Source organism: Homo sapiens, chromosome 1 (assembly GCF_000001405.40).
Source record: "Homo sapiens chromosome 1, GRCh38.p14 Primary Assembly".
Lineage (NCBI taxonomy): Eukaryota > Metazoa > Chordata > Mammalia > Primates > Hominidae > Homo > Homo sapiens.
The window spans coordinates 222,522,058-222,549,082 of NC_000001.11; the positions used below are offsets into that span (position 1 = coordinate 222,522,058).

At 44.0% G+C, this 27,025-nt stretch overlaps 1 protein-coding gene across 4 annotated transcripts, besides 1 other annotated feature; it reads right to left on the reverse strand.

Annotated features, from left to right (window-relative positions):
• Positions 1-206: 206 nt before the first annotated feature.
• On the reverse strand, positions 207-26,047 carry HHIPL2 (HHIP like 2). 4 transcript variants are annotated; one of them, XM_024449814.2, is made up of 10 exons: positions 25,667-26,047; positions 21,480-22,132; positions 19,955-20,098; positions 17,953-18,284; positions 16,591-16,717; positions 9,909-10,054; positions 4,912-4,993; positions 2,894-2,950; positions 1,555-1,637; positions 231-830 (listed from the first exon to the last, which is right to left on the reverse strand). In XM_024449814.2, exons 1-10 carry the CDS (start codon positions 25,985-25,987, stop codon positions 544-546), a joined length of 2,232 nt encoding a protein of 743 aa, XP_024305582.1. In that variant the 5' UTR covers positions 25,988-26,047; the 3' UTR covers positions 231-543. The 4 variants fall into 4 exon arrangements, 3 of the variants coding, with proteins under 3 accessions (NP_079022.2, XP_024305582.1, XP_011508288.1); NM_024746.4 differs by lacking the exon at positions 2,894-2,950 and having other exon boundaries at positions 207-830; XM_011509986.2 differs by lacking the exons at positions 231-830; positions 1,555-1,637; positions 2,894-2,950 and adding an exon at positions 2,959-3,162.
• Positions 4,455-4,639: a silencer, noted in NCBI's record as "fragment chr1:222699854-222700038 (GRCh37/hg19 assembly coordinates)". NCBI's record gives its function as "represses an EF-1alpha promoter that drives an FKBP-Casp9 reporter gene in an ReSE screen in K562 erythroleukemia cells {active_cell/tissue: K562}" and the evidence as "EXISTENCE:reporter gene assay evidence [ECO:0000049][PMID:32094911]".
• Positions 26,048-27,025: the final 978 nt, after the last annotated feature.

The window sequence follows — 27,025 nt, forward strand, 5'->3', positions numbered from 1 at the left end:
CCTGCTCTTGTTCACTTCATGAGCTTTGGGCTGGGGAAAGGAGATACCACATTTAAAGGGTCTTTCCTTGTAAGCTTGTCACAGGCTTCCTCTTAGACCTGGGGTGAGGCAGGAAGGTGAAGCATGGTTCTTATGCAAGAGTGGTACAGCATGCTAGATTTCCTAATGTCAAACAAACATCCAGGATATCAAAGGATATGTGCCAGTTTGAGCAAATGTTGATTTATTACCTCAGGTTGTAGGCATTTACAAGACAAAACGGAGACATCCAGTGTGATTCCAAGCAGGCTCATGGACTAGTGCTTACCATAACCCAGGTGCACCAGCAATCTGGGATATGGTCTCCCACAGAAGCACTGCATACAGAGAAGGTGCATTTATTTATTCAGTAGACAGCAAGATTTCCCAGGGAGAGGAAAACCGCCCTGCCCCACCTCTACCCTGGCTTCCCAGACTTCTAAGGTCTTTATTCAGCAGTGACTTTCATTTGATGAGGTGGCTCTCCTCTCTCACGTCACCCTGTCGGCCACCTTGACCAATAGGTCAAGGGAGACTTCTGCCAGCTCGCTTCTGCTCTGCTGATGGCCTCATCCTGCCACTGTGGCTTTTCAGGCTCTTCCTCCTCTTGCCCTGGCGGACGTGGGGCCCCACTCTGGCTTTCTTCTTTGTACCAGGCCCTCGCAATGTATTCTTGCTGCTTGTAGGAGAAGCCAGCTTCTTGGAGGAGCCTTTCTCAGACAAACCCTGGGCTGGGCCAGAAGCTAAGGTTGCACTGGAAGATTTTCTAGCAGCTTTCTCTGATTGTTCCTTTAGCAAGTCCAAGACTGTCTCTGAGAAATCAGTATTTATTTAGTGAAAAATATAAGTCCCAGAAAGTAGCTATAAGAGAAAACTATAACTGCATTATAGTTCTTTAATATAAATTATTCTTATTAATACTTTTAATTCTCTAACTGGCCTTGGTCTAAATATATGACTTTTTTAGAAGGGTCACTCCAGTGATACATGGTTCTGTAATAGTTTCCTTAAGATAGTATCCTTCCTCTGTAAGTCTTTCCTGACTCCCCACCCTGCCCCAAGGAAACATTCCTCATTCTAGGGGCCCTCTAAGTGCCCTGAGCATCCTTCTATACCAGAACATTAGTGCTACATTTATTTCTTTATTTGCCTGCACTTCCCATCCCCACTCCTATTTAACTCTGAACTCCTACATGTCATAGGCTTTAAGTGTTCATTGCTGTATCCCTAGGGATTAGCATAGTTCCTGCCACAAAGTAAGTATGAAATGAATGATGCCAAATGAATGAATACATGAACGATTAAATGAATGAATCAACAAACGAATGAATGAACGAATAACTAGAGGAAACCGGTCACAGTAGAAATGGGTATCCTTACACTCATAACTCCTCTGTTATGCAGAGGAGACGTATAGACTTAGTTTCCCTCAGGGGGTAACTAAGACTCCACCATGGGAATTATAGCCTGCTTGCTGAGGGCACTGCCTTAGCCTCCACACCAAGGCCTGAGCCTAAGACTCAAAGATGGACTCACTGGCGAGTGGTCTGAACGGGATCCGCTTACTCTTGGTTCTCACGGGCACTGGCTTGTATTTGCACTTGCCTGGGGGTGCTCGCCTAAAAACACAAACAGAAAGCATGAGGACGCAAGACTCTGAAGATGCAACCGGAAAATCAAGGTTACCAGAGGGCGTATATTTGCAAGAATTGGGGTCAGCCTTTACTTATCCATGGGGATGGGGTAGATGTAACAGGAAATATGCTATGAGCTCAGAAGGTGAGGTAAAAGGGCACAGACAGAACAGGGCTCCTCAGGCCCTTGAGAGACAGTGCAGAGAAGGAGTTAGGAGTATGGGCATGGTGGCAGTCAAAACGGGTTCACATCCTGGTAACCAGGGGCAAAAAACCTTGCTAAGCCTCAGTCTCCACATCTATCAAATGCAAAAACTAATGTTTCCCATCTGGCTTGGAACAGTGCCCAGAACATAACAAGAGCTCACAGATGAGGATGATGAAAATGATGATGAGGATGATTCTGCTGCTGCTTCTGATGGTGGTGCTGGTGACTCCCTTTAAAGAAAATGTCTTCAAGAACTCAAGGCACAGCCCTCAGGCGATGCCAGCTTCTCTGCCTAGTAACACACACATTCTTAAACTGCTTGTCCCCGGGTGCATCTTCTGAAATAAAAGGGACTTTGAGGACAGAGAGTACTTCCACTGTAGAGAGCAGAGCTGGAACTTCCCAGCCTGTCCCCATTGCTTTCTCTGCCTCTGCCTTGCTCCAACTCTATCTCTCACTGCCATCCTCCCAAGTCCAGGTGGGAGGGAAAAAAAGGTAATTGTATTTATTTAAAAAACACTTACGTAGTGCTTAGGCACCATTCTAAATACTTTGCAAATATTAACTCATTGAGTCTTCCTAACAACCTGTGAAGTAAGTACTATTATTATACTCATTTTACAGAGGGGAAACTGAGGCTCGCACAGGCTAAGAAACAGGCCCAAGGCCACATAGTTAGTCAGTGGCAAAGCCAAGATTCCAAGCCCAGGCTCAAGTCCATGTTCTCAACCACTGTATTTAGCTACCCCTAAAGGAAGGGTAGGAGGAAAAAATGGGAGGGAGAAAAGGATACATAAATTAACCAGGTGCCCTCAAAATGCTGGGATTGGTGCATTTCGTGCAAAGACAAGCTGAATAAGTAACCAGAGCAGAATCTGGTCCACTTATAGAAGCTTTAAAAAGTCTATATGATTCGATATAATTATAACTGAATGGAGGGAGTAGTCCTAAAATGACCTCTCCACAAAGAGAACTGAGTTCCTATTCCAGGCTCCTCTTAGTAGCTGTACCTGGGGCAAGTAATTTAACTTACCTAGCCTTCAGTTTCTTTATCCATAGAGTGAGGATGTTAACCTGCCTGGTTGGAATTCTGTCAGCATTAAATGAGAGCCCACATGCACAGCACTTAGTACAGTGCCTGGCACACAGGAGTAACTCCATAAATGTCAACTTAAAAAAAAAAGGTGAATAAGTAAGGATGTCTTCAGTGTGAAAATGCTTTATGGGTGCTTTCTGTGTGGCTTCTCACAGCTGCTCTTGTGAAAGTGGGGAGTTAAATTACCTGCCAACTGAATCAGAAAACTGCCAAAGAAAAGAAAAATGGATTCACATAGGAAGCCTGTTAATGGAAAGAGAACTCCCCACCAAGGCATCGTCAACCATCAGAAGCACTTTAAAGACCCTGAGTCTGCTCCATCCCCTAAACCCAGGAGAAGTGCACAGAAGCAGACCCAGCAGTGGGAACAGCCCAGTATTAAATTCACCCCTTGGCTATCCACCCTCCACCATCCACACATCACCCCGGGGAACAGCCTCAGGGACGGAGCCTCTTCCAGGAACTTCCGAGAACACACAAACTGAGAGCCCTGTGGCCAAATACAAGCTCAGATAGAGCTGGCCCCCCCAAGCCCTAACCAGTGGCTGGACCTATTTGCCTCATGTCTGCTGAATGCCAATCCAGATATGGGTAACATAAGCCTCAGGGGAAAATTTTCTTCTGCATGTCTATCTGTAAGCTAATTCAGGGGGAGATTTTCTTGCTTTGGCAATAATTTTTAGATAAATCTAGAGCACTGGGGCAGGGTGCATGGTGGCACACACCTGTAATCCCAGCACTTTGGGAGGTTGAGGCAGGTGGATCGCTTGAGGCCAGGAGTTCGAGACTAGCCTGGGCAACATGGCAAAACCCCGTCTCTACTGAAAATACGAAAATTAGTCGGGTGTGGTGGTGCATGCCTGTAATGCCAGCGACTTGGGAGGCTGAGGCACATGAATAGCTTGAACCCAGGAGGCAGAGGTTGCAGTGAGCCGAGATCGTGTCACTGCAGTCCAGCCTGGGAAACAGAGTGAGACTGTGTCTATTAAATAAAAAATAAAAAATAAAAATAAAAAAAAATCCAGTGCACTGCCCAGACTCCTCAGGATGGATACAATGCATCACCCTCCCTGGGGCAGATAACCTGACCCAGACCCAACCACCTCTCAAGTGGGAAGTGGTATTGTGGCTTTTGCCTGTGCTGGTGGAGGTTGGTCAGCCTCTGAGACAGATAGGCAAAGAAGCAGAAGGAAACAGCATACAGCCCAGCAAGTGAATAAACACTAAACTCCAGAAAAGGTAGAGCTATTGAGGAACCTGCCAGTTAAACGTATTTGCCAAAGACCTGGAGATCTGCACCAAGCCCAGGGGACAGGGGAGCAGTACTTACTCAGGTGCTCAGAGGTGTACACCTGTTGTTAGATGACCTCAGACAGACATTTCCAGAAGCATATTAAAAAAAAAAAAAAAGGCTGGGCATGGTGGCTTACGCCTGTAATCCCAGCACTTTGGGAGACCGAGGCAGGTGAATCACCTGAGGTCGGGAGTTCAAGACCAGCCTGACCAACATGGAGAAACCCCATCTCTACTAAAAATACAAAATTAGCTAGCTATGGTGGTGCATGCCTGTAATCTCAGCTACTTGGGAGGCTGAGGCAGGAATATCGCTTGAACCTGGGAGGCGGAGGTCGCGGTGAGACAAGATGGCACCATTGCACTCCAGCCTGGGCAACAAGAGTGAAACTCCATCTCAAAAAAAAAAAAAAAAAAAAAAAGCCACAGACCTAGACTAACCCTAGAAAGGCTCAAGGTCTTCATGTCCAACTGCAAAGAGACCGTTTCCCAAGTATTCCATAATTGCTATAGATGCATTGTCCTATGCCATTATTTGTCCAAACTGCTTTTCATCTAGAACATGAGTTTGCTTCGGGACAATGAGGACTGTTTTTATGGCCTGCCATGGAGATAAGAAATGAGAAAAATGCATTTGAGAAGAAAATGACATCAAATCTCACCTTGAGGGGTCAACAAACTTGTAAATAGATCCACGTGGTGCATAGGCACTTGGGTAAGAGGTCGCCAGGAAATACAGCTCCCCTAAGGCAACAAAAATAGACAGGCAATAATGGGACATCAGGCAGCACTGAGACACAGAGTTGGATGCACAGAAAATGGTCAAAAAGAGGTTATGGCCCTAAAATGCAGTGAGCGCCAAGAACGGAATCCCAGAAACCTAACTGGCATCAGCTCTGCTGGGCTGTGAGCTCCTTGAGGAGAAAGTCCATCTTTGAACCCCCCAAAGACTAGCTCAGTGTATGGCCTAGCAGAGGCAATTTCACGTGTATGTTTGTTTATCAAACCAAACAGGTTTCCCCCTTATCACCTCCTTGCCCTCAGAAACTTCACCTCCGTGAATCTCCATTTCCTTCCCCACCTCTTTCCTCTGTGAACACTTGGATATATACAGTCTGCAGGCTGAGGACCATCTGTCAATCGCTTTATTTTGCCCCTTCTTTAGTCCTTTTGTTTCCCTTCAGCCTCACTCCCATTTTCCTCTTTCATTCTGTCCTTGAGTTCCTTATTTCCTGGTGACCCTCCCCACTCTCCATTTCTCCTCTCGGTCTTTTCCATGCCCCACAAAAATCACCTCTACCCACTCTCTCCTGTATCTCTCTGATATGGTTTGGCTGTGTCCCCACCCAAATCTCATCTTGAATGATTTGGCTCCCATAATTCCCACATGTTGTGGGAGTGACCCAATGGGAGATAATTGAATCATGGGGGCAGCTTCCCCCATACTGTTCTCCTGGTAGTGAATAAGTCTCATGAGCTCCGATGGTTTTATATAGTTTTATAAGAGGAAATCCCTTTTTCTTGGCTCTCATTTTCTCTCTTGTCTGCCACCATGTAAGAGGTGCCTTTCACCTTCCACCATGATTGTGAAGCCTTCCCAGCCATGTGGAACTGTGAGTCCACTAAGCCTCTTTTTCTTTATAAATTACCCAGTCTCAGTCTCAGGTATGTCTTTATCAGCAGTGTGAAAACGGACTAATACACTCTTAGAAAGAGCCCCCTGCTCCTTACCATTTCTCCCAGTTGTAACTCAGGGAAATGTTCTTTTGTCACAGTAACTACCTCATTCCACATTGCTTTCTAGTTATTTGTGAGGGACATTATGCTATGGGGTCATGAGCCCCAGTGGAGAGTCCCAGAAGTCTGATTTGATTTCTGATAACACCAGTTCCTCTCCATGCTATCTTGGGAGACCTCTTCACCTGCACAGCCCTCGAGATATTTATTCATTTGTAAAATGGGGATCACAATGCCTCAAGTGATTGTTAGGTATTCAATTAGAAAGTGTTAGATAACCAGGCCGGGCGCGGTAGCTCATGCCTATAATCCCAACACTTTGGGAGGCTGAGGCAGGTGGATCACCTGAGGTAAGGAGTTCAAGATGAGCCTGGCCAACATGGCAAAACCCCCTCTCTACTAAAAATACAAAAATTATCCAGGCGTGGTGGCACACGCCTGTGATCCCAGCTATGCGGGAGGCTGAGACATGAGAATCACTTGAATCTGGGAGGCAGAGGTTGCAGTGAGCCAAGACCGCATCACTACACTCCCAGTGCAGTAGGCAACAGAGCGAGACTCCGTCTCAAAAAAAAAAAGAAAGTGTTCGATAATCGTAGTTATTTTTACTTTCTTATCTGTCTGACCCAATGTTTGTGCCATTACACTGAATTAAACTCACTTGCTGTCATGTGCCTTACACAATTCTTTCTCAATTTTATGAAAGAAAATGTCTATTAAGTTGCAATTCTGAAAAACCTAAAGCTTTATACAGCTCTGAATTATTTAAACAACTAATTTTTTTTTTTTTTTTTTTTTAGACAAGGTCTTGCTCTGTTGCTGACTGGAGTGTAGCTGCACAATCACAGCTCACTGTAGCCTCAACCTCCTGGGCTCAAGCAAACCTTCCACCTCAGTCTTTTGAGCAGCTGGGACTACAGGTGCATGCCACCACATCAGGATCATTTTTTAAACTTTTTGTAGAGACGGGGTTTCCCTATGTTGCTCAGGCTGGTCTCAAACTCCTGCACTCAAGCAATCCTCCCAGCTCAGCCTCCCAAAGCAGTAGGATTACAGGCATGAGCCACCACACAACAGCTCTAAACAACTGCTTTTTGTGGAGAACAGAGACCAGCGTTTGTCTTGTGCTAAGTGTGAGCCTCATGGTCTTTGCATAGCCCCTACACAGGGTAGCAGCTGCCTAACAAACTATGATTTGTGTACTGACAAACTAGATGTATAATCTTCCCCATGTAAGAGATCTGATGAACTAGGGCACACCCTCCTTTAGAGTCAGTTTGCTTTGTCTGAATGGGAAGCCCAGGCACCATCCAGAGTGATTCTACCATTAGATAAATGTGGTGTCTACGAAAGGTCCACGTGTACACAGGCAGGGGCCCCTCGAAACCATGCAAAGGCCTTCTCAGTCTAAAAAGAAAATTGAAAACCATGCCTATACTGGACTGCAGTTTGTGTAAATTACATGTCTTCCACATTCCATAGACTTCCCATTGTATTTTTAGGAGAAAACAATGCTAGAAGTGAATTTCATCTGTAGCATCCAACTGATATTTTTAATATACATCTTAGGGGAGAAAAACAAAAAAACTATAATATGCCATTTAAAACAAAAATGCATGCTATACAAATTTACTGCAAACAGAATTCATTTGACCAGCCCTCTTGGGAATGCCCTTCAGTGACTAACTTTCAGAAATCCCATCAATTAAACCTCAGCAATGGGCAGCTCCACACCAGCCAGTCACTCAGCAGCAATTCATACCAGCTATCAACTCTCAGGACCCAGGATGTGAAGTGCAGCCATAGGTGAGGCAGAGCTCAAGTTCCAAGTAAAAAGTGACTTACCTAAAGCCAGTGGACTGATAATAAAATAATGAAATAAGGCTCAGATCTAAAAATGCCTCTCAGAGGAAAAGAATATGGCAAGGGCAGAAAATATGAATCAGTTTATGCAAAAACACAAGAGCAAGCAACTCTGGAAAAAAAAATAATTTGCCTCAAGAACAGCCTCATCAGCCTCAGGGCCGCCCTTGGGTAAAGGCTTGGGAACACGTTGGCAAGTCTACCCCATGAAATTCAGCCAAGGACTGTGTTTTGTTTGCCAGATGTACCATGACTGTTGTTTTTTTTTTATGCTGTCTGTTTTCTACGGTGAGAAGTCTGCAAGCACAACAAACCAAGCCACCAAAGCCAGGTTCTCTGTGGCCTCCTGAAGAGGAGCAAGCCACAGAAGATGGCAGCCCAGAATCCCTGGGCAGGCCTGCCTCTGGGGTTCCAATCTCTGGGGTGGTGCTGGACACAGGGGTGTCCGGCAGAGGAGAGGCTCCACCACCGCCTGCAGCTTTCACGTCACTCACTTTCCACTGGCCATCATCCTGCCAGCCTGTGGTTTCTCTCCTTTTTCATATGTTTGGACTTCCAATTTGGAACTCACATAGACTTTTTCCTGTTAAAATACTTGAAGTTTCCAAAATTCTTGAAGTTTCCTCTGCTCCTATAAAACATTCATCTCAAACTATCTGTTCATCGGCTAGCTGAGAGGAAAGGGTCCGGGAGCTGACTGGGTCTCTTTATATCCTACTCAAGTGAAGGTCCCAAGGCAGCCACCTCATGGCCCAGAGGGGAAAGAAACCAAATACTTCAGAATCCTTTGAGACTCTGGTTTATACCTATAGAGAATCTTTTTTTTTAAATTTTTTCTTTTCTTGTGTATTTTTTGTGTTTTTTGATTTGTTTTGTTTTCTGTTGTTTAATTATTTTTTTTTCACCTATAGAGAATCTAGATGTGGAAGGGACCCTGAGAGATCACCTTATTATCTCTGTCTTTAAACATGGTGATATCTCGTGCCAAATACTGAAAAGTTCACTGTCCTCACATAAAAAAAGAGAAATATTTAAAATTCGAAAACCTTATCTTTCAGAGTGAAACATAACTTATGTAAAGCTGAAGTTAAAAATCGGCTTTCTGATGATAAAATGTTTGGAAATGTATTAGAGCTGAGTCTCTCTGTGTCTCTCTCGCTCATGTGTACACGTGCACATCATGCTTCACTGATTCCCTTAACACGTGCCTAGTCTGTCTACTGAGCAACCTCCTACCTAGATGTCTACCTTTTTCTCAGGTTTCTAAATAAATAAATAAAATTCTCCTTTTCTCACAGACTCTTGGCAAGGTCAGGAAAGAACCTGGCCCAACCAGTGAGATGATCACCAGAGGTCCCTTTCCCAGACAGCACCGGCAGCATAAACACCCGCTGCCCATTTAGTCTGGCCCGCTGTTGGCCCTTTCCACATTCCTAAAACTGTGGTTCAGAATAGATATTCCCCTCACAGTGAGTTGTGTGGTTCAATCAGGAAGGAGTAAGTTGGCATATTCAGTCTGTTTCTTCATTGGTGAAACGAGCATTATAATTACATCATGGAGCCGGGCGCGGTGGCTCACGCCTGTAATCTCAGCACTTTGGGAGGCTGAGGCGGGCAGATCACCTGAGGTCAGGAATTTGAGACCAGCACGGCCAACACGGCAAAACCCCGTCTCTACTAAAAATACAAACGTTAGCTGGGCATGGTGGCGGGCGCCTGTAGTCCCAGCTACTTGGGAGGCTGAGGCAGGAGAATTGCTTGGACTCTGGAAGCGGAGGTTGCAGTAAGCCGAGATGGCGCCGCAGACAGAGAGCAAGACTCTGTCTCAAAAAAAAGAAGAAAAAATAAAAAATAATTATATCGTGGGGGTGTTATGATTATGAAATAAGGTAAAAAATGTGAAGTGCTTAGAATAGTATCCAGTACATTATAAAAGATGACTAAACGATAGTGATCATAGTAGAAGTGATAATTACTATTTAAAATAAACGTTCAGTTGATGCCTGTGATTATCCGAGTTCTAGTAAGCAGAAATCAAACAACTCTGTACATTTGTTACCTGCTTCATCTTCAGCAAAGGAGATGATGAACTTGCTATGGGTGCTGATCAGCCCTGGGAAGGCACAGGACGTGGTGCTGCCCAGGCAAAGATCCTGCTTCTTCCATTTCTTGTTTTTTCTATCTTCCTGCAAAGCCATAAGTCGACTAGACAAAAAATAAACCCTTATGTTTAGGAATCCATATATCCACTCTGCAGAATACTTTTTCTCCTAGAATCAGAGATCCCTGAGTACTAGGACTGAGTCCCCCATTAAGAGATCAATAACTAGCCTGCCTCCAAGCAACCAAAAAGCTTCTTCAGAGATATTTCAATCACCCACTTGCCCTAGATGTGGAAGTTCATGTTCTATATAAAAGGAGTTTGGACGAGGCCCAGTGGCTCACACCTGTAATCCCAGCACTTTGGAGGACAAGGCAGGCAGATCACTTGAGGTCAGGAGTTCACGACCAGCCTGGCCAACATGGTGAAACCCCCATCTCTACTAAAAATACAAAAATTAGCCAGGCAGGGTGGTGCACACCTATAGTCCCAGCTACTCGGGAGGCTGAGGCACAAGAAATGCTTGAACCCAGGACGTGGAGGTTGCAGTGAGCCAAGATCATGCCACTGCACACTCCAGCCTGGGTGACAGAGCAAGACTTTGTCTCAAAAAAAAAAAAAAGAGTTTGACGTGCTGTGTAGGCTGCACCACTACAAAAGACTGATCTTATTTTCATTAGTTGTGTGACCTTTGGGTAGTTGCCCAATATCTCTAAGCTTCAGATTCCTCATCCATAAAATGGGGAGTGATAACATACTTTACCATAGGTGAGAATTTTGAAGGTTAAACAAAATAATATACATAAAGATCTCACCAATGTGTGTGGCACATAGTAAGGGTTAAAAAAACTACTAACTGTTATTATTATTGCTGTATATTTATACAGTAGCAGAAAGATGCTTCCTATCCCTCTATCATCTATCTGAACTAAAAGCAGGTTTTTAGAAGAAAAGGGAAAGGAAGTTGGTTAGACCCTGGGTGCTCATCAGAATCACCTGGAAAGTTTTATGGAAACAGAGATCCTAAACCCAGGGGATTTTGATAAGTACACCTCAATTAAGAATCACTGCCTGTGAATGGGTGCAGTGGCTTATGCCTGTAATCCCAACACTTTGGGAGGCTGAGGCGGGTGGATCACCTGAGGCCAGGGGTTCGAGACCAGCCTGACCAACATGGCAAAACCCCATCTCTACCGAAAATACAAAAATTAGCTGGGCGTGGTGTTGTGTGCCTGTAGTTCCAGCTGCTTGGGAGGCTGAGGCATGAGAATTGCTTAAACCCAGGAGGCAGAGGTTGCGGTGAGCCGAGATTGCACCACTGCACTCCAGCCTGGGTGACAGAGGGAGACTCTGTCTCAAAAAAAAAAAAGAAAAAAAGAAAAGAAAAGGAAAAAGAATCACTGCATATTAACCAAATGATGTGTGTATGGGGGCAGGGTGGTGAGTGGAGGTTGTAGGGAGAAAAACATGAAGAACAATGAAATCCCAAAGCTCTAGTAAGTGATGATAAAGGACCTGACCAATTAGTAACTTTACCCCATCTCTGTAACTAAGAATTGCAGCATGAAAATAGAACATCTTTTCTAACAGGGACCAGATTTACTTTCCCATCTTAAACATTCCAAAACCTGCACAAGATAGAATAATAATGGCTTGAAATATACTGAAGATCAGGCAATGGAGGAGTGTGTTCTCTGACAGACAGGAAACAAACAAGGTGAACCCTATGATTTTTCCAGCATACTACCTTGAGAGTTTCCAGCACAGGGAGGGAAAATACAGGCAAAGCCCAGCAGGCTCCTTGAGCTGAAAAGATATTGCTGAGAGTCCAGGAAGACCAATGCAGTAAGAGATTGCAGGACAGATACTGAAGAGAAGAAAATTGCACAGAGAAAGAATGCCAGAGAGCTGCAAAAGGTTCCCCTGAAGTAATCATCAGTATACTCAACAGCAGATACATGTGAGAAAATACTTTAAAACAAAGGAAAGAATTAGAAGAAAAAGTACTTGGCATTTACTTGAGATCAGGAATAGCATAAGTACCACAGGGTATAGGTAGAATTCAGTAGTGAGGAATAGAAAGCACTAGAAAAAGCACTACCTTGGATCTGTTTAGCAAATATTAATAGCAAGACCTGAAAGAATCACACTACTTCCAAGTAACTTAACTATGTCTCCAAGCAAAATTCAAAATCATTTATAGGAATACAAAAATATCCAGCACCTACTAAGTTAAATTAATATTTCTGGCATCCAATCAAAAATTGTGAGGCAAGTAAAGAAGGAGGAGAATACAACCCATAATAAAGAGTAAAATCTGTCCATTGAAAGTGACACAGAACTGATGAAGATGTTAAAATTAGCAGACAAGAACATTTAAACAATGATTCTAAACCCCGTCTCTACTAAAAATACAAAAATTAGCTGGGCGTGGTGGCGGATGCCTGTAGTCCCAGCTACTCAGGAGGCTGAGGCAGGAGAAGGGCGTGAACCCGGGAGGCGGAGCTTGCAGTGAGCCGAGATCGTGCCACTGCACTCCAGCCTGGGCGACAGAGCGAGACTCCATCTCTAAAAAAAAAAAAAAAAAAAAATTACAGAGAGATATGAGAGATACAGAGCAGACCCAAATCAAGTTTCTAGAGGTGAAAAATACATTGAGATTACACACACACACACACACACACACTCAATGGAATGAATGGCTGGCTAGACATTACAAAAGAAACAATTCATGAACTAAAGACATAGCAATGGAAACTACCCAAAATAAAACACAGAGAAAATTTTTTAACATAAATAGATCATCAGCGAACTATGGAACAACTTTAAGCAGCCCAATATACATGTAATTAGAGCCTCTGAATAAAAGGAGAGAAGGAGTGGGGACAGAGGAAAACACATTTGAAGATATAATGGCCAAAAATGTTCCATATTTCTTGAAAGCTATAAATTCACAGATCCAATAACTGCAAAAAACTCTAAGCACAGAAATATGAAGAAAACCAAACTAAGGCATATTTTAATGAAATTGCACAAAACTAATGATAAAGAGAAAATCTTAAAAAGCAGCCATAGGAAAAAAAATGATATATTACATATGAAGGAACAAACAGAAGTCTGGCAGCGGATTTCTCATTGGAATGGTGCAAGCCAGAAAATAGTGGCGCAGCCTCTAAAGAATCAAAGAAAAAAACATGTTAACATAGACTTCTATACCTAGTGAAAATATCTTTCAAAAATGAAGGCAAAATAAAGACTCCAAAAGTGAAAACAATTCATCACTATAGACCCCATTGACAAGAAATGTTAAAGGAAGTTCTTCAGACAGAAGAAAAATGATATCAGATAGAAACATGCATCTACCCAAAGGAATTGAGAGCATTAGGAATGATAACATTCTTATTGCCACTGTAACAAATCACCTCAACTACAAATTACGACAACTTTGTGGCTTAAAACAACATACACTTATTCTTTTATAGTTTTGGTTGCCAGAACTCTGAAGTGGTCTTCACTAAGCCAAGATCAAGGTGTTGGCAGGACTGTGCTCCCTCCAGACGCTCTGGAGGAGAATCGGTTCCCTCACTCTTTCCAGCTTCTGAAGGTCGTCCCTATGCCTTGACTCATGGCCCCACATCACGTCACCTTTTCTCCCTCTGCCATCGTTGTTGCATCACCTTCTATCTCTCCCATCTTCAAATTTCCCCCTACCTTCCTCTTCTAAACACACTTGTGATTTCATTTAGGACCCACCCAGAAAATCCAAGATAGTCCCCCAAGTCATATACAATATGTTCTGGGACCACAGTAAATCTAAAATAGAAATCAATAGCAGAAAGATCTCTGGAAAATCTTCAGGTAATTGGAAACTTAATAGCACACTTTGAAATAACTCATGGGACAAAGAAATCAAAAGGTAAATTAGAAAATATTTTTAACTGAATAACAATGAAAACACAATATATCAACATTTACAGGATACTGCTAAAGTAGTACTCGGGGGGAAATTTATAGCACTAAACACATATATTAGAAAAGATGAAAGGTCTCAGATCAATAATCTCAGCTTCCATCTTGAGAAACTAGAAATAGAAGAGCAAATTAAATCCAAATCAAGCAGAAGGAAGAAAAAAGAGAAGAAATCAATGAAATAGAAAAAAACATTAAAATAACAGGAAAAAAATCAATGAACACAAAAGCTGGTTCTTATAGAAGATCAATAAAATGGATAAACCTCTAACCAGACTGATTTAAAAAAAAGAGAAGACACAACTACCAACTGTATCTAGAATAAGACAAGTGACATCACCATAGTTTCTATAGATATTAAAAGAATAATAAAGGAATATTATGAACAACTGAATGCCAAAACATTTGACAACGTAGACAAACTGGAAAAATTCCTTGAAAGGCACAGACTACCAAAGCTCACTCAGAAAGAAATAGATAAGCTGAGTAATTAAATCTAATAAAGAAATTAAATTTGTAATTAAAAGTCTTTTCACATAGAAAACTTCAGGCCCAGATGGTTTTTCTTGGAAGGAAGAACACATAAGGAAAAATAATACCTATTTTACACAAACTCTTCCAGATAATTGAACAGGAGTACTTATTCTGTAAAGCCTGTTTACCCTGATTCCAAATCTGACAAATATATTACAAGAAAGAAAAACTATAGTTCACTATTCCTTCATGCACATAGATTTTAAAATTTCAAACAACATGTCAGCAAATCAAATCCATCTATATGTAAAAAGGATGGGGCCGGGCAGTGAGTCATGCCTGTAATCCTAGCACTTTGGGAGGCCAAGGTGGGAGAACAGCTTGAAGCCAGGAGTTCAAGACCAGCCTAGGCAACATAGTAAGACTCCATCTCTACAAAAAAAAAAATTTTTTTTAATTAGCTGGGTGCCACAAGCTACTGGGGAGGCTGAGGTGGGAGGATCACTTGAGCCCAGGAGTTTGAGGCTGTAGTGAGCTATGATCGTGCCATTGCAGTCCAGCTTGCATAACAGAGCAAAACCTTGTTTCAAAAAATAAATAAATAAATAAGATAAGGCATTATGACCAAGTGGTATTTTCCTCAGAATGCAAGACTGCTCTAGCAATTTTTAAATCAATCAATGAAATTCACCATATTAAGAAACTAAAAATTTTAAAAGCCCACATGATTCATCAAAAGATGAAAAGAAGCATTTGACAAAACCCAACATCTATATCTAATACAAATTTTCAAAGGACTAGAAATAAAAGAAAATGTCCCCAGCCTGATAAAGGGTGTATAGAAATCACCTACAGCTGACATCATATTGGTGTGATGTTACTGTGTAACATCACACCAATATGATGGTGAAAATGAATGCTTTCCCCTATTTCTATTCAACACTGCACTGAGATTAACGTAGAGCAATAAGCCAGTTAAAAAATAAGAGCAGGCTTCAATTCAAAAAAAAAAAGAAAGTAAATACAAAAAATTAGCTGGGCGTGGTGGCAGGCGCCTGTAGTCCCAGCTACTCAGGAGGCTGAGGCAGGAGAATGGCGTGAACCCCGGGAGGTGGAGCTTGCAGTGAGCCGAGATCGCACCACTGCACTCCAGCCTGGCCGACAGAGCGAGACTCCATCTCAAAAAAAAAAAAAAAGAAAGTAAAAGTGTCTCTATTCACAGACCTTCTAATAAAATTATGTTCCACATAGAAAATCCAGTAGAATCTACAAAAAAGCTATCAGAATGAACAAAGAGTTCAGCAAGGTTGCCAGATATAAGCTCAATATAAAAAAATTCTATATTCTAACAATTAACAGTCAGAAACTGGAATTTAACAAAATAACATTTACTATAACATCAAACACTAAGAGACAGGTAAATATGCAAGATCTCTACACTGAAGACTATAAAATACAGTAGCCATGTTATTCACAATATTTCATAACTGGGAATAGCCAAAATGTCCATCAGCAACACGGAGAACAGATGAATAAATTGTGGTGTACTCATACAACTGAATTTTACAAAGCAATAAAAAAGACAAATTACTGATACATGGAACAACATTGATGAATCCCACAGACATTACCAAATTAAAGAAGCCAAGCACAAAAAGAAGAGTACATATTATAATTATTCCATTTATATATGAAGTTCCAGAAGCAAAACTAAGCTGTGGTGAGAGTGCTTATCTCTGGCTGGGGTGTGTGTGTGTGTGTGTGTGTGTGTGTGTGTGTGTGTGTGTGTGTGTGTGTGTATGTATGTCAACTTCTTTTTGGCCTGGATGGCTACATGTACATATTCACTGGGGACGGGGGACAGGCTGGAGACCCGATCCCTTTGGCATGTTTGGAAATGCTCAGAACAAGTAAGCTGGATGGAAGCTGGGCCCCTGTCCCTTTAAAGTGAGCCCCTGGTATGAGAGAGAGACAGAGAGAGAGAGAGAGAGAGAGAGAGGTAATAGACAAGAAGGAGCCTTCTAGGGTGATGGAAGTGTTCTGCCTCTTGATATGGTTGGTGGTAATATGAGTGCATACATTTGTAAAACATCAAACACCTGTGCTCTTACGTGATTATATTTCACCATATGTAAGTTATACCTCAGTAAAAATATTAAAATAAAAAGAGGGAGAAGGGACATCAGTCCTTCCTTACCCACTCATGAAGTCTCCAAAGATATACAGGCCATTGAGATTTGGGGATTCACAACCACGATAGACATAACCTCCAGTGACTGACTTCCCCACTGCATGGCCATAAGCATAGATTGGCAGAACATCATCTGTCCAGGAGAGAGGAAAGAGAGTGAGTGTCGTGGCCTAAAATTGAAAGCTTCAAGGAGGAAGAAGGGGACTTTTTAATGCAGTTGCCTAATTCAGTAAAGAACACTTTACCTCTTGGTCTTCAGTAGGACAGGCAAGCAAGTGAATCATGTTTATTGTTCTCAATAGGCCATCCACAATATTTGCAAACTTCCTACTTAACTGCTATCTGCAGGCAGAGAGGAAGCCAAAAATTCCCTCCATCTATGAGGCAGTGACCTGGAAATCCACATGGCTAAGTTTTCCCCCTAGGTTGATATGGCAGAAACCCAGGTTTAAGGATATGGAAAATATTGTCACAGTCTGTAAGACTGCTTTATAAGTTAGAGGACAAGAAAAGACTAAGAAGAAGTAATAGAGTCAGAACACTAGAATTTTGAGCCAGGTGGAGTTTCTAAAGTACACCTTGATTATTGGTGTTTAGAAAGTGTCCTGGGCCGGGCACGGTGACTCACACCTGTAATCCCAGCACTTTGGGAGGCCGAGGCAGGCGGATCACGAGGTCAGGAGATCGAGACCATCCTGGCCAACATGGTGAAACCCCATCTCTACTAAAAATAAAAAAATTAGGTAGGAGTGGTGGTGCATGCCTGTAATCCCAGCTACTCAGGGGGCTGAGACAGGAGAATCACTTGAACCCGGGAGTCGGAGGTTGCAGTGAGCTGAGATCATGCCACTGCACTCCAGCCCAGTGACAGAGCAAGACTCTGTCTAAAAAAAAAAAAAAAAAAAAAAGAAAGAAAGAAAAGAAAAAAAAAGAAAAGAAAGTGTCCTCTTACTTGCCTATGTGCAGAATATCATTTCAGTGGCCTGTCCCAGTTGGGAAATAAATAAAAACATACATCAATTTTGGTCTGCCAGTGGTTCTCAAAATAATATGCCTAAAATTAATGTGGGTAACTTATTTAAAATACAGATTCCTGGGTCAATCTCATGTCTCCAATCCACCCAAAATTCAAATTCATTAGGTCGAGGGCAGAGTCTAGGAATTCACTTTTTTAAAATAGCCACTGCCAAGATGTCTCTGGTGCCAGTGAGTGGCTGGAGGACCGGTTGGAGAAGCACTACACCACAGGACACAAACAAGGCGTGATTTAAATGACCTGCAGGGCAGGACATTCAGGTTTTATTCCCTACCTCCACCTCCAGCCCACTCAACTCATCCAAGAAATCACCCAGAGAGCTTCTTACTTACCCAAAGAGGCATTGTGACAAAGTTTTTTGTCATAACATGCAAACCCTTCCTTTGCTCTCCAGCCATAGTTTCCACCTTTCAAAATGAGGTCAACCTCTTCAAACCTGTTCTGGCCCACGTCCCCACAGAATATCCGGCCTCGGCCCTGGCGCGTGATGGGGTCCCCTCGGTCCACAGCACAACGCCACATGTTCCTGATCCCATAGGCATAGATGGCGGGGTGGGCCCCTGGCTCAGAAACAAATGGATTGTCCGAGGGGACTCGGTACCGCTTGCCATGTGAGCCTGCCCTGTTCACATCGATCCTTAAAACTTTTCCCAGCAGGGAACTTCTGAAAGAAAGAAGGCCAAGAAGCAGAATGAGGTAAGCAAGGAAAGCCACAGGACTGGAAGAGATCGCCCAGAAGGGCCGACTCATAGCTGATGCCAAGAGACTGCTAAGGATCCCATGGGAAGATTTGACTTCTTATTTTCCTTCTTTTTTTGTACCCGCAAGTATGAGCTTGAAGATTTTCTTTTAAATCTATACAAGATATTTAAGACTGCCCCATGTTTGGCTCTAAGAGAACTACGAGGCAAAAGTTTGATGTGATCTTGGTCCATGTGACCCTGAGCAAGTTGCAGCTTCAATTCTTATTTTAATGATGAGCACAGCTTCTCTCTGATTTGGTCTAATATGACAAAGTTTTTCAAGAAGCTAGTTATATTGTTTATTGTTTATTTAACAACGTGGTCAGTTAAAAGAACAGAATAGAAGCTTCTGAGAGGCTCTGCCAATGACTGTGGTCTCTGGGGCTGACTTTCCTCATTTGAAAGTCAGAGGAGAGTAACTGATGGCCTTGTGCCACTGCTTCCTGTGAGGATAAGAAATTTCACGCTCAAGTAAAGGGTCTGGGATCTAATGAACACATGATAATCAGAGGCTGCTATTCTTTTTAATATATTGGCCAGGTGCAGTGGCTCATGCCTGTAATCCCACATTTTGGGAGGCTGAGGTGGGCGGATAGCTTGAGGCCATGAGTTCAAGAACAGCCTAGGCAATACAGTGAGGCCCCATCTCTATTTAAAATATATAGCTAGATACATATTATTTACCTTGCGGTGTGGTTGTGATGTAAGGGTTAAATGAGTTACTGTGTATATAGCGTTTAATGCAATTCTTGAATCACAGTAGGTATTCGACAAATGTTAGCTTTGTATTATTATTAACCTCAATATTTTTATTACTAGGAATAATAGAAGCCAAGTGCTTACTGGGTGCAAAGGGCAGAAGGACCACATGACCTTTATCTAGGCAAGACAGCATCACTGGGCTCTGGCACCGTATTGTGTGGGTTGGGATTCTGTTTTTTCCACTTACTCATTGTACGACCTCTGTGTCTCCATTTTCTTGTCTGTAAAATGGATACTATTATATGTATACTTCATAGGATTCATTCATTCCATGTGTAATTATGGAAAGACTCCCTTGTGCCAGGCACTGTCCTGAGTGCTGGTGATATATCAATTAACAAAATAGATATTAGATATAAATTCTTGCCCTTGAAGGTTGCTAAAATTACCTTCTCAAATGTAAAGTACTTAGACCAATGCCTGACAAGCTGCAAGCACCCAATACACATTGGCTCTCAGTAGTTAACTTCTCATGTGTCTCCAGGGCCTAGCACAGCACCTGGAACATGGTGTTCAATAATATTATTGAGTTGAATTGAATTAGATGATTAGTGTGGTGAATAATGACCTGCTAATATATATATTTTTAAAATCCTGAATTCTCCTTTACATAACACTCTGACAGTTGTATTGAGCATCAATAATATTAACTACCAAAATATACTATGTCTGAAATTTATGGAACAGAAAACCAAATGTTCCTCCCATTGCCTCAGTGGAGTAGACTACATCTTGCAGTGTGTGATTTGAGTTTGATGCCATCCCTGCAAAAACACCACACCAGGGGCTCACTCTGAAGGGACAAGGGCCCGGCCCCCATCCAGCTTACTTGTTCTGAGCATTTCCAAACAGGCCAAAGGGATCTCCAGCCTGTCCCCCGTCCCCAGTGAATATGTACATATAGCCATCCAGGCCAAAAAGAAGTTGTCCGCCATTATGGTTTGAGGCTGGTTCTTCAATCTCCAAGATGACCCTGGAAGAGAAAAAAGAAACCACACGTTAGGATTTGACACAAGCTGAAGCTGCATCCTCTTGAGATACCCAGAAATGACTGGGCCAAGCCACCGAGATTTGCCAAGCCAGCCAAGACCTGCTTCTGAGTTTTTAAGGATCACAAAGCAAGTAGCTTTGGGGCTCTGAGATGCCCCTTGTTTCCTGGTATAACTCTTTCATGGCTCATTTTCCTTTGTCTTTTTTTTTTAGACAGAGTCTCACTCTGCATCCAAGCTGGAGTGCTGTGGTGCAATCTCACCTCACTGCAACCTCCACCTCCAGGTTCAAGCAATTCTCCTGCCTCAGCTGAGAGCCTCCCGAGTAGCTGGGATTACCACCCCACCACATCTGGCTTTTTTTTTTTTTTTTTTTTGAGATGGAGTCTTGCTCTGTCACCCAGGTTGGCATGCAGTGGCGTGATCTTGGCTCACTGCAACTTCTGCCTCCCAGGTTCATGCGATTCTCCTGCCTCGGCCTCCTGAGTAGCTGGGACTACAGGCATGTGCCACCATGCCTGGCTAATTTTTGATAGAGACAGGGTTTTTCCATATTGGCCAGGCTGGTCTTGAACTCCTGACCTCAAGTGATCCGCCCGCCTCAGCTTCCCAAACTGTTGGGATTACAGGCATGAGCCACCATGCCTGGCCTCATTTTTCTTTCATACCATGATTTAATGAGCTGTGGACCCAGCCAGGGTAACAACCATCCTTTTCCAGGGCTTGCCCTTACTCTCTGCCCTACCAGAATGCTCCATCCCTTCTTTTGAGTAACTTAAGAGGGGTTAATCTATCAGTTCTTTATGCTCTTTGCAATCCTCCAACCTGTCTACCACGGGAAAAGAAACAAGAGAGAAAGGAGAAGAAGGAAAAACAAAGGCAGAGTGGTAGGGTGGAAAGAGCATGAACTTGGGGTCAGTTAAAACTGAGTCCTCACCTGGCCATGCATCCATAGCTTGATGGCCTTGTGCCACAGCTTCCAGTGAGAATAAGAAATCCCACATTCAAAGTAAAGGCCCTGGGATCTAATGGCACATAATAATCAGAGGCTACTATTATGTTTCATATGTTGATATTATCTATAATCCTTTCTCAGACCCCTATGGCTGCTGGTCCTTACTTACCCTTTGTAAAGACAGGAAAGTATGTCTTTATTTAGGGTAACTGTAAGGTGATGGCTACATCCCATTAAACAGCCTTAACTCAAGAGGCTAACTTGGGCCGTTCTCAATCCACAGTGACTCCTTTCTCAACAGTTCGAGTAGTGCTCTAAAACCAGTGAAGTTCCCCTCTATTATCTCGCAGACCTGGTTGGCATTATTTCGGAACACAGTACAGCTGTAGGCTCTCATGAGTACCTCTCACCTCTCTGATTTCAGGTCAGCTTTGTTAGGATCAGCCCGAGAAACCTTCATCTCACTAATTCGGATCTTTTCTACCTTCTTCTTGTCCAGGCACGAATAATAAATATAGAACTTGCGATTGTGGCGGAATTTGGGGTGAAAAGCCAACCCCAAGAAGCCTCTCTCATCCCCGATCCATGGGGTGGTCAACACGATGTTCTTGAGGTCCAGGAAGGGTTGCTCCAGGCGACTCCCATCAGGGAGGTAGACCCACACCACTCCTACCTGCTCGGCAACAAAGAAGCGATGGGTGCCGTCCCCAGCATGGACCATGGAGACGGGGTTCCTCAGCCCGTTGGCCACCTCGCTCAGGCAGAGCTGCAGGCAGCCCTGAGGATCTTGGGCCACCATGCCCAGGTGGCGGTTGAGATAGTCGTTCCTCAGGACATTAGGGAAGCAATAGTCCTTGTCAGGAAGGTCCAGGAGGTGGCAGAAGCGGGTACCGTCCCTTCCATGAGACTCCTGGAGGCCGCGGTCATTGGTCAGCAGGGAAATGGCTGAGTGACAGTTAGAATGGAAGGCAGAGCAGTAATCAGAGCAGAGGCCCGGGAGATTCCGGAGAGGCGTCTGGGTGTTTTCGGCGTCGTAGAGGTGGGCTGCGTAGGGCGAGCACTCCTAAAAAAGAACGCGGAGCTCAGGCTCAGCATCAGACCTGCCACACCGGCACTTGTCTCAAGTTTTGAGCAAGCAGAAAGAAAAAATGGTGCTAGGCGGAAAAAATCAGGATTTTGGAGTTTTTGTTACCAACTGCTGCTAAAACTCTTCTCTGTGATTTTCTACCTAGTTAATGCTCCTAGAAGGCAGAAAACAGGGAAAATCTCTCATATTCACTGTACTATCTCTAACATTTCAGCTTAGTTTTTGACATTTAAAGTTTTATTAAATGATGCATGAATATTTTTTCAAAAAGATATTACTAAATTTCTAGATCTCTTTCTTATTTTTTAATTTTCATTTTATTTTATTTTTCATAGAAACGGCCTCACCATGTTGCCCAGGCTGATTCCTAACTCCTAGGCTCAAGTGATTCTCCTGCCTCTTCGATCTCCCAAAGTGCTGGGATTACAGGCATGAGCCACCATGTCGGCCCAGCCTCATTTTCTTATGGATGCTATATCTACCAAGATGTTATTTCTTTATACAAATCTGAAACAATTTGGCAAAAATTTTACATTTGTTCAAATCTGGTTGTTGGAGATACAGTGTTAATTATTTTTCTGTGCTTTTCCATATTTTTGGAATATTTTACAATGAAAAATAAAGTTATCAGAATTGACATTGGATGTATCACTCTCAGAGATTAGGTGTTTAGCAATTTCTTTAATTATTGATTTTAAAAATTTCAGTGTTTAATATATGCAAAGTACCATGCTGGAACCTATACACATTTGAATTGTGGCTATAGGGCAATATGCCTGCTCCTTACACAAACATATAAGGACTATTTGCTCAAAGGAGTATCTGCTACTTGGACCTCCCTAGACTATAACATTTTTTAGGAGGAAAATAGAATATTGTGAGCAGACGAGCGACTCCCAGTAGTGATGAAAGACAGAGGCAACTGAGATTAGGAAGGTAAGAAAGCCCAATTCAAAGGGTGTCGTTTGGAGCCGTGCATTAGAGCAGAGTTCACCCATTGGCCCAGAAGCCCCCTTCTGATCACTAAGGACTCTCCTGAGCCAGCCAGCCTGTGCAGAACCATCTCATTCACCTCTGTGCTGCCATCGCTTCACAAAAGGACCAGCAGCATTTTTCATGTATATGTGAGTTCCCTGTTCTCTCTTATTTCCTCTGATTGTACGCTGCAGAGTCAGCTTTCGGTCATTGGGCAGAGTGGAAGAAGGAGCTCAGAGATTCGCAGGCTCCCCTCGGGGTGTCTGTTTCCATTTAAGACACTTATCACAGCAGCTATCAAGAAGCAACATGACCCACTCTTAAGTGTCCCCTTGCTCATTCTGTCCACTCTCGGAGACTGGGAAAAAGGGAGAAGGGAGGCTGAATTAAGGATCCAATACTAGAGAATAGAAGGGGGCTGTGGAAAGAGAACCATCACTATGGCACACTCTCATGCAGCCATTTAGAGTTTGCAAATTTGCTTCTACTCAATTAGCTCAGTAAATGAACAGATACTTCCCTACTTCAAAGGGAAGAAAATCAAAGCCCATAAGGTCTCTAGCCAGGCGCAGTAGCTCACGCCTGTAATCCCAGCACTTTGAGAGGATGAGGGGGGCAGATCACCTAAGGTCAGGAGTTCAAGACCAGCCTGGCCAACATGGTGAAACCCTGTCACTACTAAAAATAAAAAAATTAAAAAAATAAAAAAACCCAGGCATGGTGTCATGTGCCTGTAGTCCCAGGTACTCAGGAGGCTGAGACAGGAGAATCGCTTGAAGCCGGGAGGCAGAGGTTGTAGTCAGCCAAGACCGTGCCACTGCACTCCATCCTGAGTGACAGAGTAAGACTCTGTCTCAAAAAATAAATAAATAAATAAATAAATAAAAGTCCTATGTGACTCTCCTGTTGAGTCTGTCTTACGTGCCAGGCACCGTTCTCTACATTGATTGGGATGCAGCAGTGAGCGAAATGCACAAAGTCTCTCTTCCAATGGAGCATATAGTTTGGGGAGCTCAGAAAACCGTTAAGTAAACAAGCCAGTGCTGCTGTAACTATACTTTAGCACGGTGTGATCAAAAGGCACAAAACTTGGAGCCTGAGCATCTGGCTCTGTGCCCCAGGATTGTTTTACCTTGGGTAAGTCATCTAAACTCTTGAGCCCTCATCAGTAAAATGAGGATCATAACAACTGCCTGCAGAATCATTGCTGGGTACACACTACATACGTTGGGGAAGAAAGAGGACCTTATAAATGTGAATAAATAAACACGTGTAGGACTGTTTGGCTGAAATTGTTCTTATTCCTCAAATCCCTAAAACAACAGAGCTGCTGACTTTGACTTTCTGAAACCTCATGCAAGAGGGAAGGGTCAGGGGTATAAATTTTTACCAGGGATGATCTCAGAAATAAACATTCTCAGTGCTGCTTGTAAAAGCTCAGCTTCTACCCTAATGGGAATCCTAGAGTTAATTCTCCAGGAAACAGCTGTGGAGTGGTGTCTAAGAGGACAGCCCCAGGCGGTGCCACCCAGGTGGCTGACTTTCTGGGCCAGGCTCAGCTGTAATTCTCTCCTGGACTCTGGGAAGCTCGGTTAACCACTTCACGCCCTATGTGGGAGTTACAGTGGTCTGCAGGCTCAGGAACAGTGGCGCCAGGAGTCATGAACAGATGCCTGTGGATAGCCAAGTCATTGTGCTGACAAGCCCAGGGGGTCTCAGTTCAAAAGGCTGCCTGGACTTCTTGCCTCTCCTCCCCAACATCATTAGAGGGGTCCTCCCCAGGCAGCCTCTTTTATCAGCTTTCCAAATGCTGACCTCTCCCCATTAACCCCCAAACACCCTCTTCCTACAAAGTCTGTGTGTGCAGCCTACACCCGTCTTGTTTTCAGGCTGAGCTCAATCAAAACGATGCCTCCCAGGCATGTGGATTTTGGCTGTTGGGCAACCAGGAGAAGCAGAAACTCTGTGAGTCACTGCTACTCAGCAGCTTGCATCTCTCTCTTCCAGCTCTGGAGTGCTGGGCAGACAGAACTCTGGAGAGAGTCTCCAACCCCTGCCACCGCCAGGGTGACGCCAGAGATGCCCTGGCACAAATCACCCAGATGAAAAGGACTGGACCCCAGCAGATGCCACCACTCCCTCCCTTAACGCGCTCGGTAAATTCCACGGGTTTAAGTGCCTAGCTCTCTGAGCACCGCAGAGGATGCAAATAATTATTTGCCATGCACCACAGAGGGAGTGTGGCAAATAATGGCTGCTCTGAGAGCTCCAGGAAGAGTGTCCCTCTCATTCTCCTGGAGCCTGGAGAAGAATCAGGGCCAGCAGAATCCCAGAGGGAGAGCTTTGGGGAACCCATGGAGACCAAATTCAGCACACACTCATGTCAGTGTGCGTGTCCAAAGCCGGCAGCTCCAAGATGAGGCACCCGGCACATGAACTTCTAAAGGGCTGGGCTCCCAAAGCACCCTCCGCTCAGGACCCACACCATGCAGCCCAGCACCCAAACCCCTGGGGCTGGAAGGCACTTTTCACTACCTGGCAAAGGATGTCTTTAATGTAATCTCCACACAGCTCATGTCTCTTCAGATCAAAATATTCCATGATGTCCCAGTACCGGGCAGCGATGCGGCGGTCCTTGTGCTGATCACAGCAGCCGAAGGACTCATAGTCAGAGCAAAACTCAAGGTGCAGAGGGGGCTGGAAAGGGGGCCCGTAATCCAGGCACTGGGGGTGTCCCTGCAGCAAGCCCACCTGGCCCAACAAGAATATGAGGCAGAGGCAGAGAATGCCAGAAGAGAGCCAGGGGGCCCGGCAATGCAGACCACCACACAGATTAGGAGTGGACGTTCTCAGCATTTTGGCCTTGGGAACACTCGGGCTGCTGTGTTTGCTCAGGTTGGCTTCCCTGCTCTGCCCAAGGTCCTCCCTCTCTTCCTCCCCCTACTCCACCCTGTTTTCTCCTCCTTCCTCCTCTTCCCCGCCCCTCCCTGCTGAGGTAGTTTCTGAGCAGTGTCCCTTCTGTGGGCTCCCTTTGAAAGCAGTGGGAGGTGTCCCTTCCCCCCTCCCCCAACCCATCTAAACATGAAGCCCCACTCTAGTGCTGCTAGTGTTATGGGGGCACACCTTTGCTTAGCCAAAAGTGTAGTGGTGTCAATGGCAGAGGTGCTCGATTCCTTAAAACTGCAAAGAATTCCTGCTGTCTGTGGGGATGCCCGGAAATTCACACTTTTTTATGTTTCTTCACAGGCTGAGAGGCCCAGAGTCACCATGAGAGCACCATATATTACATCATCCCAGACTTCACACTCTGTAGAAGGAAAGCTTCAAGCGTTTCTACAGTGCTGAAGGGCCCCAAGGCGGTGGGAGATATGGAGGGGCCATGGCAGGAGGCAGGGTGTGCTGTATAGCTCCTGGGATCTGGCAAGGTGTATATTTGGAAGGGTAGGAAGAGAGGGCATTTCATGAATCTTGCATCCACAGTAAGGACCAAGGAGAGGAAGGAGGACACAGTGAAGGAAAAGAAGGGGAATCTTAGTCCATGCTGCTGTAACAAAACACCACAGACTGTAATTATAAATAATAGAAATGTATTGGTCACAGTTCTGGAGGCTGGGAAGTCCAAGATCAAGATGGCAGTAGGGGCTGGGCATGGTGGTTCATGCATGTAATCCCAGCACTGCGGGAGCCTGAGGCAGGAGGATTACTTGAGCCCAGGAGGTTGAGACCAAACTGGGCAATGCTGTGAGACCCCGTCTCTACAAATATAAAAAGAAAATTAACCAGCCATGGTGGTGCACACCTGTAGTTCCAGCTACTTGGGAAGCTGAGTCAGGAGGATTGCTTGAGCCCAGGAGTTTGAGGCTGCAGTCAGCTATGATCACGCCACTGCACTCC